The sequence below is a fragment of the Homo sapiens genome, chromosome 12 (genome assembly GCF_000001405.40).
Source record: "Homo sapiens chromosome 12, GRCh38.p14 Primary Assembly".
Classification (NCBI taxonomy): domain Eukaryota; kingdom Metazoa; phylum Chordata; class Mammalia; order Primates; family Hominidae; genus Homo; species Homo sapiens.
This window is the reverse complement of record NC_000012.12, coordinates 123906863-123926839: the sequence shown is the minus strand read 5'-3', so window position 1 is coordinate 123926839 and position 19977 is coordinate 123906863. Positions and strand designations below refer to the sequence as shown.

Genomic DNA, 19977 nt, shown 5'->3' with positions numbered 1-19977 from the left:
CCTTTCAGCCACAAATTACCTTTTCTTGACCTTGACCCATTGCAAGGAATTTGAGGCGATTTCCTCCAAAACCACTTCGCTCTGCTAATTTCATAAGATCAGTGGCAGGGTCGGAGCCAGGACTCAGGATAAACACAATGGGCGAATGTGGAGTGCTCTGCTCAAAAATAGCTTCAAAGCTGATCATTGGGGGCTGCACATACCTGGTGAAAGAAACACAGTCAGAAAACTCTCCCGCGAGGACAGCTCCAGACCAGGGGCTGGTCTGTCTGATCAGCGCTGCCTCCTCCGGTGTCCAGAACCTTCTGACCACTCCTCTGGGATAGCTCGTTGCAGTCTTCCCTGTTTTAGATTCTAGTTTCTATGCACGTCTCCCACCCTGATGGGGAACTCCTGAGTGGCAGGGACTTCTCTGTACCCCCTCACACTCGATTCAGTTGGTTTGTGCTGAGCTGGGCACCTCAGCTTGCCCTCTAGGTGGGCCTGCCCATGGCACAAAACCCTGAGGTTCCACAGGCGTGTCCTGAATGGTCCACATCTTGAGTTTTGAGTTTTGTGTTTTGTGTGTGGGTTTTTTCTTTTTCTTTTTTTTTTTTTTTTTTAAATTGAAATATATAATCTCACTCTGTTGCCCAGGCTGGAGTACAGTGGTACTATCACAGCTCACTGCAGCCTCAAACTCTTGGGCTCAAGCAATCCTCCCACCTCAGCTTCCTTAGTAGCTTGACTACAGGTGTGCACCACCACGCCTGGCTAATTCTTTTTTATTTTTTATTTTTTAGAGGCAGTATCTCACTATGTTGCCCAGGCTGGGTCTCGAACTCCTGGCCTCAAGCGATCCTCCCACATCAGCTTCCTGAAGTGCTGGGATTACAGGTGTGAGCCACCGCACCTGACCCAGATGTGCGTTTTAAAATTCATTGCAAACACAAAGATATTGGGATATTTCAGGAAAAAATCTGAAGTCCTAGCTTCTTTCAGAGTCAGAGGATCCAGCCACTGTGGGTTCCCAATGGCACCTGGTATCAGTCAGCAGGAGCTAAGGGCAGCTGCCCAGGGACCAGGACCCCACCCAGCCTCATCACTCACTGCCATGGCCTGCTGGCTACAAGGGCACATCTGAGCTGCAGCCCCACACGCTCCGCCTGGCTTCGTACCCCATGCTAGAGCTACATTGTCCAGTGCGATGGCCGTGAGGCACAGCACTTAAAATGTGGCTAGCCCCAATTGAGATGTGCTGTAAGTGTGAATTCACACAGGATTTTGTAGACTTAATACCAGAAAAAAGCATGTAAAATGTCTCAATCATGTTCATATTGATTATACATTCAAATGATAATTTTAATATATTCATTTAAATAAAATGTTATTACAATTAATTGCGCCCATTTCTTTTCTAATGTAGCTACTAGAACTTTCGAAACTGCATATGTGGCTCACACTGAATTTCTTATGACTAGCACTGTTCTAGAATATTGAAGAATTCTAGAATATCGGCTATCGAATATTGTACAGCAGGGTGGCGACAGCTGTCTCGGGAGCTGGTCAGCCTCTGCTTTCTTTGAGTCCAAGGTGGGAGGACGCTAGAGATTCCACCCCACGGAAAGTGGCAAATCAACAAAACGACACACTTACTTCTCTCCCATTGTTACAGTCACATAGTCAGTCACGGCCCGATAGACCCGATCCACACGGAAACAGCGCAAAATAAGCAACTTCTGGAAAGGGGTGATGTTGTTATCGTAACCCAAGGGGACGGGAAACTGCTCCAGTGAATCCAGGTCATACCACTGGGAAAAGCAAAGAATATTCATTGTGCGTCAACTCAGAAATGACATAGGTCCCCATTTATGTGTGAAGGTGGCAAAAGCCACTGGAAAGGGACGAGAATCCATAGGTGTACTAACTGAAGGCCACCTGGTCAGATCTGTCATTCTCTACCCCCAAAGGCTATGACATTGAGAAAGGAGCAACTGAGTCTTATTCACTGAGTCCCCAGTGCCCATCAAGGGACATGGTACATGGCAGATGCCCAACAACTATTTCTTGGATGGACGGGTGTGTAGGTGGATGGATGAGTGGGTGCATGGATGGATGGATGGATGGATGAGTAGATGGGTGGGTGGGCAGATGGGTAGATGAATGGGTCGGTGGGTAAATGGATGGATGGGTGGGTGGGTAGGTGGATGGATGGATGGACGGACGGACAGGTAGATGGTTGGATCTCCCATACAACTAGCTGAATTAGCCAAAGGAGAATTCCAATCAGGGAGTTACAGGGCATCAGTTACACACTGAATGGGTTACTCAAAGGAGTGTCTTCTCTTAAGGGGTTGGGCCACAGTTGAGGTTTGGAGATTGTTGACATGTGGGGAAGGAGAGGAGGAGAAAGGGAACGTGGGCTCACCTCCTGCCAGACAGTCTGATTATTCTCAACATCATCAGGAAGTTGCCCAAAGTTGTCTGAAAACATTTCTGATAAAAGAATGATATCTTCCCATCCTTGGTCAGACAACCAAGCGCAGGGCTTTTTTCTTTTGCTTTTCTCCAGGGAAATGTTTCCTAATCACAACAGAAGAGAAGCAAGCAGCCATTGTACCACTAACACAAAGCAAGCAACTCTGCTTCGACTTCTCCCACTTTTGGGAAAAGTCCACTTTTCAAGAAGGAGACTGGAAACAGGAAGTGGCCCAGGCTTGCCCTCGTCACCGCCAGTGACACCAACCAGGCGCTCAGTGCAGCATCCAGCTTCCAGCCTCAGGATGGCCCCGAGACAGAGGCTGGCTGCTCCGATTTCAACCAGAGCCATTTCTGAGGCTGGAATGATCAACTGGAATAGTGAAAAATGCAGTGCTGTTGGAAGCCAAGTTTTAAGGAGAATTTTTGTTATTGTTTGTTTCAACAGACAAACTTATATACATGTATCATGTGGGCAAGGAGATGGGAGGAATGAAGCTAGGCAAATTCATTACCTTTTAAAAAGAAATCTAGTTCTTCTTGAGGGACTCTCCCTTCTGCTTGTTCTATCTTGATGGTCATATTAAAAGAAAAGAGTAGCTTGTGCCTCTCAAACAGCCCTGGAGGGAAACATCAGATGAGTATTGATTTCTTAAAATTCATTTTTAAAAAACTGAGTTTCTTATGCACACTGTGCTTAAACGTAAGATAAATGAAACACTCGAACTGTATGGCTGCATTTACCCCTCTTTGCACCTAATGTCCATGAATATCTAAGTTCAAGAGAGATGAGCTCAGTTCCTAGGTCATGCCCCAGTCTGTAGTGACATGCTCCTGTATGTAACGGAAATGGCCATGTCTACAGGAGGTAAAATCACACCAACCTGGGAAGAGGAAAAGCCAGTGAGGGGCAGTACAGCAGGGGCAGCCCTCTCCACTGAAGGCAGGTTGTTTGCCTGACTCCATGGCATTTGTGTCCATTAGAGTCTAGAAGAGGTGTTGGCAAACTTTCTACAAAGGGCCAGATAGTAAATATTTTTGGCTTTGGAAGCTAGATGGTCTCTGTCATAACCACTCAACTCCGCCATTGTAGTGCAAAAGCAACCATAGACAATATGTATACAAATGGATATGGCCCTGTTCCAATAAAACTTTATTTACAAAAGCAGGCAGTGGGCCAGATTTGGATGCTGGCTAGGGGGTTGCCAACCTCTATTGCAGAGGACACACACTCCATCAACAGACTCTTTATTAATGGATGCAAAATACCAGCGTTCTTCTTTTTTGCTTTTTAACAGAAGACATGTGTTCCTGGAAAAAAAAATTGTTTAAGTCAAAATTTGTAATTTGAATTCTACTTTATATGTGTTAGGAGGGTTGGCTACTTAAGTGAGCCCTATAGAAACAATCTCTTTTCTGCCCAACTGTTAAGGGCTAAATTATATTTCTCCAAACTTCCTATGTTGAAGCCCCAACTTCCAGTACCTGAGAATATGACAGTATTTGGAGACAGGGTCTTTAAATAGGTGATTAAGTTCAAATGAGGCCATTAAGGTGGGCCCAGTCCAACCTCACTGGTGTCCTTATAAGAGGAGGAAATTTGGACACACAGAGACACCAGGGATTCACACGCAGAGAAGAAAGACCTTGTGTGGACAGAGCAGGAAGACAGCCTCCTACAAGCCAAGGGGAGCATCCTAAGGAGAAACGAAACCTACCAAAACCTTGATTTTGGACTTCTGACCTCCAAAACTATGAGAAAATAAATTTCTGTTGCTTAAGCCACCCAGTCGGTGGTATTTTGTTATGGCAGGCATGGCAAACTAATACACCAAACGCTGGTGCATGGAAAATATCACTGTCAGTACAGTGTCTCAGCAGAAGAGGACTGGAAAGGGACACGAGTGTGTCCTACCCACCCTCTGCTTCCTAAAGGTCACTCTACAGGCCCCTGGTTAAAAATGGCCATTCTGAGTTTATCCCAACTCCTTTTCAAAAACCAACTGAAATGGTGAGTTTTTTTGTTTGTTTGTTGTTTTTGTGCAGTGGCGCGATCTCGGCTCACTGCAACCTCCGCCTCCCGGGTTCAAGCCATTCTCCTGCCTCAGCCTCCCCCCCAGTAGCTGGGACTACAGGTGCCTGCCAACACGCCCAGCTAATTTTTGTATTTTTAGTAGAGACGGGGTTTCACCAGGTTGGCCAGGATGGTCTCCATCTCTTGACCTCATGATCCGCCCGCCCTGGCGGCCCAAAGTGCTGGGATTACAGGAGTGAGCCACCGCGCCTGGCCTAATGGTTAGTTTTTTAAAAAGGTATAAGCTCCCAGAAAATTGGAGAAAAGACAATAGCAATAAAATTTTGCAAGCTAGGCCAGGTGTGGTGGCTCACATCTGTAATCCTAGCACTTTGGGAGGCCGGGGTGGGCAGATCACTTGAGATCAAGAGTTCGAGACCAGCCTGGCCAACATGGCAAAACCCTGTCTCTACTAAAAATACTAAAAATTAGCTGAGTGTGGTGGTAGGTGCCTGTAATCCCAGCTACTTGGGAGGCTGAGGCAGGAGAATCACTTGAACCCAGGAGGCGAAGGTTGCAGTGAGCTAAGATCGCACCACTGCACTCCAGCCTGGGCAACAGAGTGACATTCTGTCTCAAAAAAAAAAAAAAAAAAAAAAAAAAAAAAAAAAAAAAAACTGCAAGCTACAGACAGATGGACAAGTGATAACTGATTTAGCAGAGCTGAGAAAGTTGACTCTCACATGAGGAGGAGATAAAGCTGAGATGCAAACCACAGAACACATCAAAAGCTCAGGAACTGGCAGTACCAGATCCTTTGGAAGTGTGGGTGAATATGGGCTAAAAACAGGAAGATGGGTGGACAGCTTGTTTGACAAGCCGTCAGATCCCAGATCCCCTCTCACTCCATGCTGCCAGGCAACTGCCTGCCCCACCCAAGTGAACTTTGGAAAAGATAAAGCAGGGTCTCTGGACGGGGGAACACCAGGCATAGTTGAGGGTAAACCGTACTGAAAATATGGCTTTCAGTGAACGTTTTCACGACGAATGCTGAAATCGACAGCCTTCTTTTCTCACTTGGTTCCACGAAGGCTGGCAGCCAGGATTACATACTCTAGGAAAAGGCTGAAGACTCTTCACTGGGGAATCCTAAAGTCTCATGAGAAAAGAACTACATGTATTGGCATTTGAGAGTTCCTCCAATGACACACTACAGAGAGGCGAGCACAAAATTCAGACGACGGGAAACAACCCAGCAATCAGGTAGGTTTCTTCCACAGATAAATGCAAGGGGTGGGGCAGACACGGTGGCTTATGCTTCTAATCCCAGCACTTTGGGAGGCCGAGGCAGGAGGATCCCTTAAGCCCAGGAGTTCAAGATCAGCCTGGGCAACATGGCGAGACCACCATCTCTACAAATTTTTTTTAAAAATTAGCCAGGCATGGTGGCATGCACCTGTAGTCCCAGCTACTGAGGAGGCTGAAGTGAGAGGATCACTTGAGCCTGGGAGGTGGAGGTTGCAGTAAGCTGTGATTGTGCCATTGCACCCTAGCCTGGGCATCAGAGCCAGACCCTGTCTCCAAAAATAAACAAACAAAAATAAAAATAAATGCAAGGGGGAAAAGAGAGAAATTAAGTGACACAACCAATTATAATGTATAGACCTTAATGAGGTCCTGATTTAAAATAATGTGAAACATGACATATAAGACAATTGGGAACATTTGAAAACCTGAATATGATGATATTCAGGAATTATTAATTTGGGGATATGATAATGGCCTTATGTCTATGTTTTGAGATAGAATCCTTCTATTTTATAGCAGGGATGGGCAAACCACAAGCAAGGGGCCAAATCCAGCCTGCTGCCTGTTTTTGCTAAAAAAGTTTTATTGGAACACAGCCATGGCCATTCACTTCCATATCATCCAATGGCTGCTTTTGTGCTACAATTGCCACCATGCCCAGTGGGGCCTGTGGCACACAACTGCAGAAGTGAGTAGTTGTGGCAGAAATCACTTAGCCTTCAAAGCCTAAAACACTTACTATCTGACCCTTTCCAGAAAAAGTTTGCTGACCTCTGTTTTAGAGATACAAACTAACATACTTACAGATAAGTGATCTGAATATGAAGCAAATTTTCAACATAATCTGGGTTGATGGGGAACCGTGTTACATATAAACAAATCCAGAGCTAATCATTGCCAGGTGAGGGCTGTGCAGACGATCACGACACTATTCTCTTTTGCATATGTTTTCCATAATAAAAAGTCTTTTGAAAAAATCAATGATTTAGGGGTTTAAATATACTGTAGTCACTTTGGAAAACAGTTTGGCAGTTCCTCAAAAGTTAGACATAGAATTACCCTATGACCCAGCAGTTCCCTTTCTAGATATACCCCCAAGAGAATTAAAAACACACATTCACACAAAAACCTGCACACAAATGTTCACAGGAGCATTGCCTTAATAGCAAAACAAGCGAAACAACCCAAATGCCCATCAGGTGACGGGTGGATAAACACAGTGCGGTCTGTCCATACATGGAATGTGACTCAGCCACAGGCAGGAATGAAGCGCTGACACACGCAGCAACACGGATGAACCGTGAGGTCACGGAGTGGAGTGAAAGATACCAGTCATGAAGTCACACACCGTATGATGCCATTGACATGAAGTGTTCAGAGCAAGTAAATCCTTACAGATGGAAGGCAGAGCGGTGACTGCCAGGGACTAGGAGTGGGGGGCCAGGGGGTGACTGCTAATGGGTATGGGATTTCATTTCGGGGCTGGTGGAAACGTTCCGGAGCCAGAGAGTAGTGATAGCTGCACAACTCTATGTATATGCTATGAATCACCACCGAATGGTATATTTTTAAAGGACGAATTTATGGTATGTAAATTGTGTCTCAATAAAGCTGCTATCTTAAAATTCAGTGCTTTAAACATTCCTCTTGTAACATGAATCGCCAGACTCAAGAATGCCATTCGGAGCTGGGCATGATGGCTCACACCTCGTAATCCCAGCACTTCAGGAGGCCAAGGTGGGTGGATCGTTTGAGCTCAGGAGTTCGAGACCAGCCTGGGCAACATAGTGAAACCCCATCTCTACAAAATATACAAAAACTTAGCTGGGTGTGGTGGCGTGCCTTTAGTCCCAGCTACTCTGGAGGCTGAGGTAGGAGGATCACCTGAGCCTGGGAGGTGGAGGTTGCAGTGAGCCGTGATCGCACCACTGCATTCCAGCCTGGGTGATGGAGCAAGACCCTATCTCAAAAAAAAAAGAAAAAGAAAGAAAGAAAGAAAAAAGAAAAAATGCTATTTGGTAACTTTCCATTTTCACAGATCACGTTTCCTTAAAGCCACGTCTGGCACACCAAACTACACTAACATGTCCTCCTCTGTGGGGAGAGCTCACCTGTGCAGCCGTGGTTATAGATGCTGAAGGTCAGCGTGTCCATGATGTTCCTCAGGCGTTTCATGAGGATGGAATCAGGCAGCGACTTCTTCAGTGACAGCCTGAAGACCTCTAAGAAGGCAATCAGGGAGTACTGGTACATGGAGTTCACCAGGGCCATCTCAGACAGGACGAAGAACAGGATGGCCCCCCTCCTGGCTGCTGGCCGGTAGCCATCCCGCAGCCTGTCGATGTCCAAGGCTGTCTTCTCCGCCAGCTTGAGTTTCTCTGAGACCTGAAGAAAAGCACAGGTGACCCTGGAAACAGGAAGACTGAGATGTGGGCAGAGGGCAGGAGGGGCAGGGGGACAGCAGAGAGGTATGTACAATGCTTCAGGGCTTTGAAAGTATCCAGGGACTGCAGGGGAGCGAGGGCACCCACCCTCTTGTAGGAAGGGGTGAATATTTGTGGCTGACGCCCCTGCACCCATGGCCCCTTCCCCTAGTAACACTGCTTGTAAGTCTCCGGTACTGCCCTCTCCCTTTTCTTCCCATATGGGGTTCCACCCCGACTCCAGGAGATGTGACCCAGGGCCAGCTAACCTGAGCCTAGCATCCCCAAGCTCCCAGGGCTGCTTTGGGGTAGAAACGTGACCTAAGTGACTCTCAGGACCTTCACGGTAGGAACAGGAAGATTCTCACTTACCCCTTTGGGTTTGGACCCGAGAGGACGTGAGGCCAGACCAGTCTTATGACCATGTGGGGAGCTGGCAGAGAATGACGCCAACCCAGTAGAAGGCCCAGCCCAGAAATGGACAGAAACCAGGTCCTCCTGGTATTTTTGAAGTCCTGGATCCAGCCCCACCTGAGGCCATCTCTGAACTTTTCTGCTTTCTCAGCTGATAACTTCCCTTTTGACTTAAGCCAGGCAGGGCTGGATTTTCTATCACTCTCGATTTAAAGAGACTGACCTGATGCCCAAGGGTCCCTGGGAACACCTTTAGGGCTCCCCTCCCCACAGCACATCCCAATAGAGGTGGGTTTTTAGCCCTGAGATCACAGAGCCCCATTTTCTCATTGAGCAGACAGAGAAATGGACGCTCCAACGGCGCATGCAGGCCCCGCCTGACTCACGGCCTCTTCCACTGTGGTTGCTACCTCTGTTGCCTTGGATTTGGTCTCCTCCAGGGTGTGCACCAGGTCCACATTGTCCAGCATGTTCCCCGTGGACGTGGCCAGCTCCCGAAGGAGGGAATCTTCCAGGTCCTTGAGCAGGTTCTTGTTCTCGCTGGTCTCCTGGATGAGGTGCTCCCGCTGCTCCTCCAGCTCCCGCCTCTCGTAAGCCACCAGCACGCTCAGCAGCTGGTCCTCCAGGCCCTTCAGCGTGACTGTGGGGGACAGTGAGAGGCCCTCACCACCTGCGGCCCCCAACAACAGTCTCTCCCGCTGCCCTGCTGTGACGGGACAAGCTTAGCGCGGGTCTCAGCCAGCAGGCCAGAGGCACGAGGATTCACTGCCCACCAAAGTCACTCTAGAGCAGCAAGGTGGCAGGCAGGAGCAAAACAGCGATGCTGTGGTGCAGAGTGGCAGATAAAAAGGAAAAAACACACTGAAATAAAACCCAGGCTTCCACGGACTGGGGTGCCATAGTTTAAAGTATACCCAGACTGGGCGCAGTGGCTCATGCCTGTAATCCCAGCACTTTGGGAGGCAGAGGCAGGAGGATCACTTGAGCCCAGAAGTTTGAGCCCAGACAACACAGACAAACCCCATCTGTACAAAAAAAGAAAAAGAAAAAAGAAAAGAAAGTACATCCAAATCAAATTAGCCTATTTAAGCAGGAGCATGACAGCCCTAGAGAATGTAAGAGATAACATCCCATTTCTATCAGAATTCAACTGAGAGGAAGAAAAAAAAAATTCAACATCACAACATGTATTTTAAATACACGAATATAGAGTAACTTCCTGCCCCCACAGTCAGAGGTCCCATCCCACCCCATGTGTGAACACATAAGCCCACGGCCCCGTCTCAGCGTGACTCATGACAGGTGACTCATGGCCTCACACCTTCTAAGTGGTACCTAATTGGTAAGAGCTGACTAGTCCAGATGTGCCTATGAGAGAATGATCTGGGGTCACTGAGTGAAATGATGTCCCATGAATGCCTTGATCTGAGGTTGCGGTCTCCCTCATAACCATCTGAATTAGCAGTGGAGGTTCTACACATTCTTACCAGTGTAATTGATCACCATAGCTTTCCCAAACACGGATGGGGAATATCTGGGATTGGCCAGCTTGGTGTTCAGGTACAGTCTGAAATTTGAATCATAGTCCACTTCCTTGTCTCCCAGGATAATAAACTGCCGTCCTTGGGAGACTTTTATATTTTTTTCTAAGACGTTGTCAATCACAGGATCGATGTATTCATCAACATCGCGGAACAGGAAAGGGGTCCCGTACTTTATGGACATCTCTAGCTGCTTGAGGAAGTCAGGGTCATTAAAGGAAGCGACCTGGAAGAGAAGGGAGGCAGATGCTGAAAGCCCACGTTTAACTGTGGCCCTGCCAAATATAAGGGGAGAATGGCTTGGAAGTGGGAAGTGGATGGGCCAGGAACTTGGAGGGGGCCAGAGGTGAAAAGAAGAGAGAAGCAAGGGGTATAACGCATATACACCATGAGGTCCAGGCTCAGGGCAGGATCTTGCTCAAACAGGGTAGAGAGGAAAGGAAGGGGATTCCTCAGCCCCTCTCCCGTAAGCTAGAACCCCTCCTCTTTAAGAGAGAGGGTAGATGTTGGAATTGGACTAGGGGTAGGCTGACAATTTCAGTGCTCCCTGGCAGGCTGAGGGAAGAGGGAGTCTAGAAAAGTTCCTGCCCTCATAGTATTTGCTCCCTGATAGCTCCATGTGCATTTTGGAGGCAGACTGTTCCCCTGACCTTGGAGTACAAATGGGCTTCCTCTAACAGCAGGCAAATACCTGAGATCAAGGACCAGAAAAAAATGAGGAAAAGCTAAATTGAAAATAATTAATTTGTTCATTAGCTCAGCAAAAAGTGATTGGGCCGCCCCGGCAATTCCATTCCTAGGTATCGCCCCAAGAGAACTGAAAACACATGGCCACATAGAAACGTGTGCACCAACATTCACAGCGGCATTCTTCAAACAGCCAAAAAGTAGGACAACCCAACTGTCCCTCAGCAAATGGATGGATGAACACAATGTGTCTGTTCATACACCGGAATATCATTCAGCCCAAGGAAGGAATGACGCCCTGATGCACTACAGCAAGGACGGACCTTGAAAACATCAGGCTGAGTGAAAGGCGCCAGACACAAAAGGCCACACAGCGTCTGAGTCCATTCCTAAGAAATGTCCAGAGGAGGCACATTCACAGACGGAAAGCAGATGAGTGGCTGCCAGGGGCTCGGGGAGGGAGAAACGGAAGGACTGGAGGGGTGATGGCTAAAGGATGTAGCATTTCTTCCAGGGATAATAAAAATGTTCTAAGACTGACTCTGGTGATTGGTATACAACTCTGTAAATATACTAAAACTCAAACTGAATTGTATGTTTTCAGTGGGGGAAAGGTGTGGTATGTGAATTACATCTCAATCAAGCCATTACTCTCCCCTCTCCTCCCCTGCATCCCCATCCCCCACCTCAGCTCCAAAAAATAGTGACTGAGCACCCAGACCACGAACCCCGTACTGGACAGAGGAACACGAAGCTAAGGTTGCTCACAGCCTGCGAGGGGAGAGGCAGAGTTCATGGCGGTTTGAGCTGCCCTGGCAGACCCACGGGGTGGAGGCGGAGGCGGAGCCGGGGGAGGGCTCCGCATGGGGGTCAGGATGGAAGCATTTCAGCCCAGCCTCGCTGAGGCTAGGGACTGCCACGTACAGGAGGCGGGAGGGGCATTCTCCAGAGAACAGGAATAGGGGGCAGAAGACGCCCTGGGAGGAGCCACCATACCCGCAGATTGTTCTTCTCCTCTTTTCTCTTGATCCAGTTGAGGGCCTGCTGCTGGGGGTCGATACACAGAGGGAAGCGGCTGGCCCGGGTGGTGAGGATGCCATTCTGAACGGAGAGCTCATCGGGGGGAAGGCCCTGGGATCCCCATCTGGAAGAAACAGCCATTGGGAAATGAATTTTTCTCACCAATTTGTGAGCCAAGGGCTAAGGGTGGTAGGACTGGCCTTCCAGAACAATCTACCCATCCCCAGGCCACACAAGCCTCCTCAGAGGCCAGGGAGAAGGGCTCCGTGCTGGGTTTGCAGCTTGCCCGGCCACTTCCATGCAGTCGAGCCAACTGTGGTCCTGGTGATGCCCCCCAGGCCATTGCCTCCCCCCAGGGTGACACCCACGTAGACCCCCTGTGCTAAGGTGTCCCCTCCCTCCTGCTGGCTCAGGGTGCCACACACCTGCTGATCTCAACATCATCCGTGAGCAGGCTTTCCAGCCGGAAAGGCTGGCTCAGGGGGATCTCCCGCTCCAGGATGTCATTTTGCCAAATCCGATTGACCATCTCGTCACGGAACTCCCAGGTGAAGGCTCCCTCGTAGCTGAGGAAAGCCGCGCAGAGCAGGCAGTCCCCCAGCAGCTTCACGCGCCGGTGCATCAGCTCATCCAGGTCGTTCAGCCACCTGGCACGGGAGGAGAGGGAGGCTGCCGTGAGTTTACCTTCTGGCCACAACCAAAAGGAACATTCCAGAAGAACCAGCTTGATACCTTGCTAACAGGGCTAGCCAGATGGAAACATGTTTTGAGATATTCTTTCCTTGTGAGGAACAGAGACCAACAGCTTATCTTGCAACTTCCCACCCTAGTGAACCTGGTATTTGGAGCCAGCATCAAGCAGGGGGCTCAGTAAAGGCCTGTGGTCTTTATTAAGCAGTAATCACATTGCGTGGATCATATTAAGTAGTAATCACGTTGTTTCTGAAGCCTTAATCAAAGACATATAAATCAGCCCGGCAGAGCTAACAAGTTCTGGCCTCACTCAATGACAGAATTCCACCCAAGATAAAAGAAAGCGTCTGTTTCATTTGTCCTCTTTCAGTAAATGCCCCAAGACTTAGGTTTAAGAAATACTGAAAATTGTTTCCCACACGCAAACAACATTTTTCAGTGTTTTCTACACCACACTTACAGATGCTAGATTCAAAATTGTTGCCCTATTTGGTGAATAAGCTGTGGCCAAGCGGTCTTGCCCATAAATATCAAACAGCCCCATCACTTAAGACTGAAGCCCAGGATTGAACAAGCCACTGGGACCCTTAGAAGGCATCTGTGCGGTGACAGAGATGGGCTTCTCCCACAGACTCTTCTAGAAAAGACCCAGGGGTTAGAGGTCACCAAGAAGTGAACACTTCCCAAACCTAGAGCACCCTGCTAAATGGTATGGATTCCCCCGTCTCCACAGCTGCACTGCCTCCTTGACCCTTAGTAATTAATAAATAACACTCAGTGCCTAATACAAACAAGAGCCTATAAAATAGCCATTAGCTGCCATAAACATGATAATAGGAACATAAGACCTGGTCACATGGTTTTCACATAAAAACACAACGTGAGATAAAGAATCAACATGGCGAGAAACTCTGTGGGTGACGTCCGTTTACAAACCGCAACAGGTGGGCTCGTGAGCAGCGCTAACCTGATGTTTTCTGACCCCAGACCCGAGATGAGTTTGTCTGCGGCAATCAGCCGCCTCTCCATGATCTCGGCTTCTTCCTGCAGCTTCTGCTTTTCCAGTATGGCGGCCTCATATTTGGCACCCAATGTTTCCAGCTCTTTCTGAATTGCTGCCAACTCATTCTGGATCCTTTCCAGTTCCCGTTTAGTGAGGTAAAAATTCCGCTCCAGCCTGGCCACCTAAGTGAAGACAATTTGCAAAAAGATGGGGAAAAGGACCGTGGTGGGGCCGCGATCCCATGGCCTCAAACCAGGCCACATGTCTAAACTGCTCTAATGGTGTCTGTGCTTTTCAGAGCCTCTATATGCTATGTTGAGACACGTGGCTTCTTAGTTTCTTCTTCGACTGTTTGCTGCAAAAACTCCATGTCCCATTAGAAGACACAGCACCCAAGTTATCAAATGGTTTTACTTTCATGTACTGAGGTCTCCGTAAGATGACACTGTGGTTCTAAGTCAAAAACTCAGAAGAATATACCATAGACAGTAACAGTATTTCTATTGGTTCCAAGCTTTCTGAATAATACAATTCCGAGCTATAGCGCAAGGTCACAATATGACTCAAAATGATCAAATTAACCTTATTCTCTTTGTATTTTGTGATCTTCATGTGACTTTGGCCCCGCTGCTCTCAACTGCGGTAGGTTTTGTCCCCCAGGGGACGTTTGGTACTGTCTGGAGACATTTCTGGATGTCACAGCTTGGAGGGAGGGTGCTGCTGGCATCCAGTGGGGTGAGGCTGAAGATGCTGCTAAACATCCTATAGTGCCCAGGACAGACCCCCCCAGGACAGACCCCCCCCCAGGACAGACCCCCCAGGACAGACCCCCCAGGACAGACCCCCTGCGGGAAAGACCCCCCCCGGGACAGACCCCCCCCAGGACAGACCCCCCCGGGACAGACCCCCCAGGACAGACCCCCCCAGGACAGACTCCCCCAGGACAGACCCACCCAGGACAGACCCCCCAGGACAGACCCCCCCCAGGACAGACCCCCCCGGGACAGACCCCCCCCAGGACAGACCGCCCCAGGACAGACTCCCCCAGGACAGACCCACCCAGGACAGACCCACCCAGGACAGACCCCCCCCAGGACAGACCCCCCAGGACAGACCCCCCCCAGGACAGACCCCCCCCAGGACAGACCCCCCCGGGACAGACCCCCCCAGGACAGACCCCCCCCCAGGACAGACCCCCCAGGACAGACCCCCCCCCAGGACAGACCCCCCCAGGACAGACCCCCCCAGGACAGACCCCCCAGGACAGACCCCCCCAGGACAGACCCCCCCCCAGGACAGACCCCCCGGGACAGATCCCCCAGGACAGACCCCCCAGGACAGACCCCCCCCAGGACAGACCCCCCGGGACAGACCCCCCGGGACAGTCCCCCCGGGACAGACCCCCCCCAAGGACAGACACCGCCCAGGACAGATGCCCCCAGGACAGACCCCCCAGGACAGACCCCCCCCCAGGACAGACCCCCCAGGACAGACCCCCCCCCAGGACAGACCCCCCAGCACAGACCCCCCAGGACAGACCCCCCCCCAGGACAGACCCCCCAGGACAGACCCCCCCCAGGACAGACCCCCCAGGACAGACCCCCCCCCAGGACAGACCCCCCCCAGGACAGACCCCCCAGGACAGACCCCCCCCAGGACAGACCCCCCAGGACAGACCCCCCCCCAGGACAGACCCCCCCCAGGACAGACCCCCCCAGGACAGACCCCTCCCAGGACAGTCCCCCCAGGACAGACCCCCCAGGACAGACCCCCCTAGGACAGACTCCCCCAGGACAGATCCCCCCCGGGAAAGACCCCCCCCGGGACAGACCCCCCCAGGACAGACCCCCCCCGGGACAGACCCCCCAGGACAGACCCCCCCAGGACAGACTCCCCCAGGACAGACCCACCCAGGACAGACCCCCCAGGACAGACCCCCCCCAGGACAGACCCCCCAGGACAGACCCCCCCCAGGACAGACCCCCCAGGACAGATCCCCCAGGACAGACCCCCCACCACCACCAGGCCACATTCAGCTGCAGCTGAGAAACTCTGCTTTGACCCTAGAGAAACAACTTTAAACATCTTTACGTCATTTTTTTTTTTTTGAGACAGGGTCTCACTCTGTCACCTAGGCTGGAGTGCAGTGGTACAATCACAGCTCACTGCAGCCTCCCAAGTAGCTGGCAGTACAGGTGTGTGCCACCATGCTCGGCTAATTAAAAAACTTTTTTTTTGTAGAGACAGGGTCTCACTATGTTGCCCAAGCTGGTTTCAAACTCCTGGGCTCAAGTGATCCTCCCATCTGGGCCTTCCAAAGTGCTGGATTACAGGCATGAGCTACCACGCCTGGTCTGAACATCTTTATACTACACTTTCACAGGAAGTTTGAAACTCTTTCAGACCTCGGTCTTGTCCACCACCCACACTATGCCTAAGTGATAGTGGTGTTTCAGGATTGCCATTTATTGGGTGGTGGAGGGAAAGTTTATGCAGCTTGAAGTCAGAACCTCGGGAGAAGTTTTTCAGCAAAGGTATGTACATGTGAATTCTGACTCTGAATGGGTCCCTTGGCAGTGGTGTGGCAGTCTTACATTCGGGCAATACCTTCTCTCTTTTGGGCTTGATTTCTCTGAAAACATCACAGTAGCCCATTACAGCTTCAACAAATTTCAGCATCCCCAGCCCGGCTTTGCTGACAGCTTCCATTTCTTCAGTTGTGGTATTAAGAGTCTTCAAGAGGCCTAACGTGAAACATGCAATAATTTTTATGAGTGGCAAGCTTCATCTTGGGAGCATAAAATAGACAAAATAAGCATAACTAGTTTCTTATTCTTCAGTGGCCCTGTGAGCAGAATGCACAAAGCTCTCCTACGGCCAACAGCGTGGTGTCAAACCAAGATGGGTTCTGCATAAACGGATGTTTCAGATGTGGGCAAGGGACATGGTTTACTGCCACCCAGGACGCAGGTGTCACACAGGAGACCCAGGGCGTAACGGAGACTCCCAACTGGGCACCCAGGTGGCTAACTGGAATTCACAGGCCACTACAGGTCACCTGTTACCTTCACCCGCACCCTCACCCCAGGAGTAATTTCACATAAACGGAAGTCCATCCAATGAAGATTCAGACAGAGGGAGTGCCTTGGGTTTTTGTAGTGGTTGGGGTCATTTGTGTTGAGATTGCTTTTGTTTTTAAGGGGCTAAGAAAAAGCATTTGATAAGAGTCTAAATAAACCATCAAACACAGCGTTAACTTGTATTGCTTTTCGCAAAGACTAACACCATTACACTATCACCGCCTGGCTGAGCACTGGGCAGGGTCAGGAACTGAGCTCAAGGGGAACTCAGTCCTATAACCAAAGATGGAGGAGAGGCTGGCCATCAGTGATGCTGCCCACCCCCATGCCCACTCCCCAGGGACCTCCAGAAGACTTGACACTGACAAGAGGAGAAAGGGGGGAAGTCAAGGTCAGACTAGCTCTGGGCTTCTGCATGTGCACTGAACAGCACTGGGTGAGATGCACAGAAGACAAGGCTGGGCTAGGTTCCAATGAGAAGATCCTGTTTCCTGACACGGAGAGCTAGGACTAGTGCCGAATCGAACCCTCAGTGGGCACGGCTGCCGCCGCGCATCCCCAGCCACTCTCCCTGGGTCACGTCATGGGGCTGCTGTTTTCCTCTGGTGACCATCAGTTGCCTGTTCCATCCGATACCATCTGACCAGAAGGGGAGGGCCTGCCCACGACAAGCCTCCTTGCCCTCCATCCCTGTCCCAGAGCCTGAGATGCCAGACCGAGATCCACCCTGGCGATTCCCACACGTGGCTACACTCACCTTTGATGTTTTTCACTTGGCTCTGGGTAATCGAATCAAAATCAATCTCCATCAGAGACCGCAGGAAATTCGGGTCGGACATCACGCCCTTGGCTGTTTTCCAGTTCAGCTCTTTGTACCCTTTCATGATGAGGATGCATTCGCAGACCGTCTGCACCTGCTTCGGGGGCTTAGCAAACGACCTGGCAAGAAACCAAGGCACGTGGGTCACAACCCCGGGATGTGGCCAGGATCTGGCCTGAAAGAGAGCTCCAGAAAAACGAGCTCAACCAAAAGACAGTCCCTGGAGCTACTGCTGCAAGCAAACGAAAGAAGCCAGGTCCCAACACAAACCGCACTCCTGGGCGGGAGCGTCCCTAAGGGCAGGGCCGGGTCCCCCTCTCAGGTTCCAGACCAGGCGCCTGGAATGGTGCGGGGGCAGCATTAAAATACAAACCCAGGCCGTCCCCGGAGCGTCTGGATCAGTGGTTAGGGGGCAGCCTGAGCACCTATGTTTTAATTACACCCTCGGCTGATTCCTCAGACTCTAAATGGTGGCTGCCGTCATTATTGTCATTATCATCATCATCATCACCATCACCATCACCACCAACCATTATCTCTCCCCATTTACTAGATGGACAAACAGGGTCCTGGGAGCTTGCATGACTGGCTGTGCTGACACCGCCTGGGAAGCCTGGGGTCCCCGCATCCTGGGCTCTTTCCAGGCTATGTTGCCCCGTAATTGTGTTCTGTGGCTTTGATAAGACTAGATCATCACTCTGCTCCTCCAGAACGCAGATGTCCACTGCCCTTGTTCCTCTGGAGAACCAGAACTGCCAACGGAACAGGAGACAGAACAGCAGCGCTGGTACAAAGGCCAGAGAAGGAACCGAACCCATCTCACCGGGGCATCCCACTGCCAGGCAAGGTCAGTGAAAGCCACAGGAGTCTCCCAGACCACGCCATGGAAAGACAGAAGTGGAAGAGAACAGCACAGACAAGGCAAAGCAGGAGAGGAAGGAAAAGCAGGAGAGAAGAGCAGGAGACAGAGGTCCCGGAGGGCATGGATGCAGTGTGGGGGCGGCCAGGCAGGGGCCCAGGCATTTGTGCTCTGGTAGGAGGCTGGGGTGAGCCAGAGAAGAAAGAGGGGGATGGAGGGACAGAGGGGGAGACACATGCACAAGAACAGAGACAGGGAGACAGGGAGGAGACAGAGAGACAGGGAGGAGACAGGAAGACAGGGAGGAGACAGGGAGGGGACAGAGAGACAGGGAGGAGACAGAGAGACAGGGAGGAGACAGGGAGACAGGGAGGAGACAGAGAGACAGGGAGGAGACAGAGAGACAGGGAGGAGACAGGGAGACAGGGAGGAGACAGAGAGACAGGGAGGAGACAGCCTGAGCAGACAGCAACCTGGAGGCTTTCTGCAGTGAGCAAATCCCCCACCCCTCCTGACCCCGGAACCCTCACACACTCCCACACAGACAGCAGAGGAGAGAAGGCCCCATAGTGTACGGACAAGCCAGGGCAACAGCCAGGAGGGAGGGCGCCCACACTTCAGCACAAAGCCCAGTGATGAAAGAAAGGCCCTGAGTCCCCGGGAAAAGGCTCGATCACGCTGGTGTTGGCTGCTTAGGAAAGCGGCGGGGCTGTCAAGTGTCTTTAAAAGGTCCCTTCAGGGTGGATGGAAACCAGGCCCCGGCCACCGCTCTGTGAACAAGCAGGTGGGGAAAGAATGGGGCAGATGTTTTCAGATTCAAGACAGAAGGAGCCCAGGCCTGCGGCGGGGTCCTGAGCCCTTGGGCAAGTTAGGAACCAGCCAGGGCGTCAGTTTCCCCATCTGTGAAGTAGAGACGCAGAACTGGAACCTTCCAGTTCCCAAATCCTCTGAGTCTACCAAAGTGACGTTTTCTGCTGTTGGGTTGCAGGCCACGCTCTGGGATCTCACTTATCCAGAACATACCACTTTCCACAATGCCGGATGACCAAGGTGTGTGAAATGTGGAGGGTGCAAGTCAAGAGAAAGGGAGATGTCTGTTTAATTTGATTCCTTTCTTCTATCACAAAACAAACTCAGGAATGAGAAAGGGAGAATGATATGCTACCCTCCCTAGAGGAAAATAATCCTTATAAACCCCACTCCCCACCTCCCAGTACTCTACCCCTGACACACCAGCTGTCTCTGCTTTTTCTCCAGCCGAGCTCCTTGCAATCTCAGAGAAGGTGCCCCCTCCGCCCTCCATGACCATGACTAGGTCAGGTCCCAACATCCACTGTCAGAGCAGCAAGGACCTTTCCTTCCTAACCTAATCCTACATAATTTCCCCATGCACATGGGATTCCTATAGGAAAACAGAGTGTCAGCGCCACGCAGTGAAGACCCTGCCTGCCTCACTGCTGATGGGCCCCAGTGCCTGCTCAGGGCAGGGGTGGGGTGGGGGACAGACACCCACTGACTACTGAATGAATGAAAGGAAGAAAAGTGAAACTCAAGAGCCAGCAACAAAGGGAGGCTTTTATAGTTTTATAGTTAGAGAAACATCTACTTCTAATCTTCATGACTCTTCATCTTCCTGCCTTAACATTTAATGATTTCTA

General features: G+C 50.6%; 1 protein-coding gene and 1 long non-coding RNA gene across 12 annotated transcripts in view, besides 3 other annotated features; one reads left to right on the top strand and one right to left on the bottom strand.

Annotated features, from left to right (window-relative positions):
* The window catches only part of DNAH10 (dynein axonemal heavy chain 10), a 173420-nt gene that overhangs the window by 8881 nt on the left and 144562 nt on the right, over positions 1-19977 (bottom strand). For all 11 annotated transcript variants that reach the window (NM_001372106.1, XM_017018960.2, XM_011538016.3 and 8 more), the window contains 12 exons: positions 17398-17579; positions 16168-16304; positions 13525-13742; positions 12290-12511; positions 11841-11988; positions 10104-10383; positions 9027-9256; positions 7891-8164; positions 2973-3077; positions 2408-2562; positions 1636-1790; positions 20-203 (listed from right to left, as the gene is read on the bottom strand). In NM_001372106.1, the coding sequence (NP_001359035.1) occupies positions 20-203; positions 1636-1790; positions 2408-2562; positions 2973-3077; positions 7891-8164; positions 9027-9256; positions 10104-10383; positions 11841-11988; positions 12290-12511; positions 13525-13742; positions 16168-16304; positions 17398-17579 (2290 nt within the window). The remainder of the gene's footprint in view (positions 1-19; positions 204-1635; positions 1791-2407; positions 2563-2972; positions 3078-7890; positions 8165-9026; positions 9257-10103; positions 10384-11840; positions 11989-12289; positions 12512-13524; positions 13743-16167; positions 16305-17397; positions 17580-19977) is intronic.
* LOC124903043 (uncharacterized) lies at positions 1823-4242 on the top strand. The gene is made up of 2 exons (XR_007063505.1): positions 1823-2058; positions 2552-4242. It is a non-coding gene; the product is annotated as an uncharacterized LOC124903043 (long non-coding RNA).
* Positions 7860-9059: an enhancer, noted in NCBI's record as "CDK7 strongly-dependent group 2 enhancer chr12:124402328-124403527 (GRCh37/hg19 assembly coordinates)". NCBI's record gives its function as "activates an origin of replication core promoter dependent on BRD2, BRD4, P300/CBP, MED14 and CDK7 cofactors, with strong dependence on CDK7, by STARR-seq in HCT116 cells {active_cell/tissue: HCT116}" and the evidence as "EXISTENCE:reporter gene assay evidence [ECO:0000049][PMID:35650434]".
* Positions 9231-9732: an enhancer, noted in NCBI's record as "H3K4me1 hESC enhancer chr12:124401655-124402156 (GRCh37/hg19 assembly coordinates)". NCBI's record gives its function as "activates a minimal SCP1, AML or CMV promoter by ChIP-STARR-seq in naive H9 embryonic stem cells {active_cell/tissue: H9 hESC(naive)}" and the evidence as "EXISTENCE:reporter gene assay evidence [ECO:0000049][PMID:30033119]".
* Positions 18704-18998: an enhancer, noted in NCBI's record as "tiled region #5794; HepG2 Activating non-DNase unmatched - State 4:PromP". NCBI's record gives its function as "activates a minimal TATA promoter and a strong SV40 promoter by Sharpr-MPRA in HepG2 cells {active_cell/tissue: HepG2}" and the evidence as "EXISTENCE:reporter gene assay evidence [ECO:0000049][PMID:27701403]".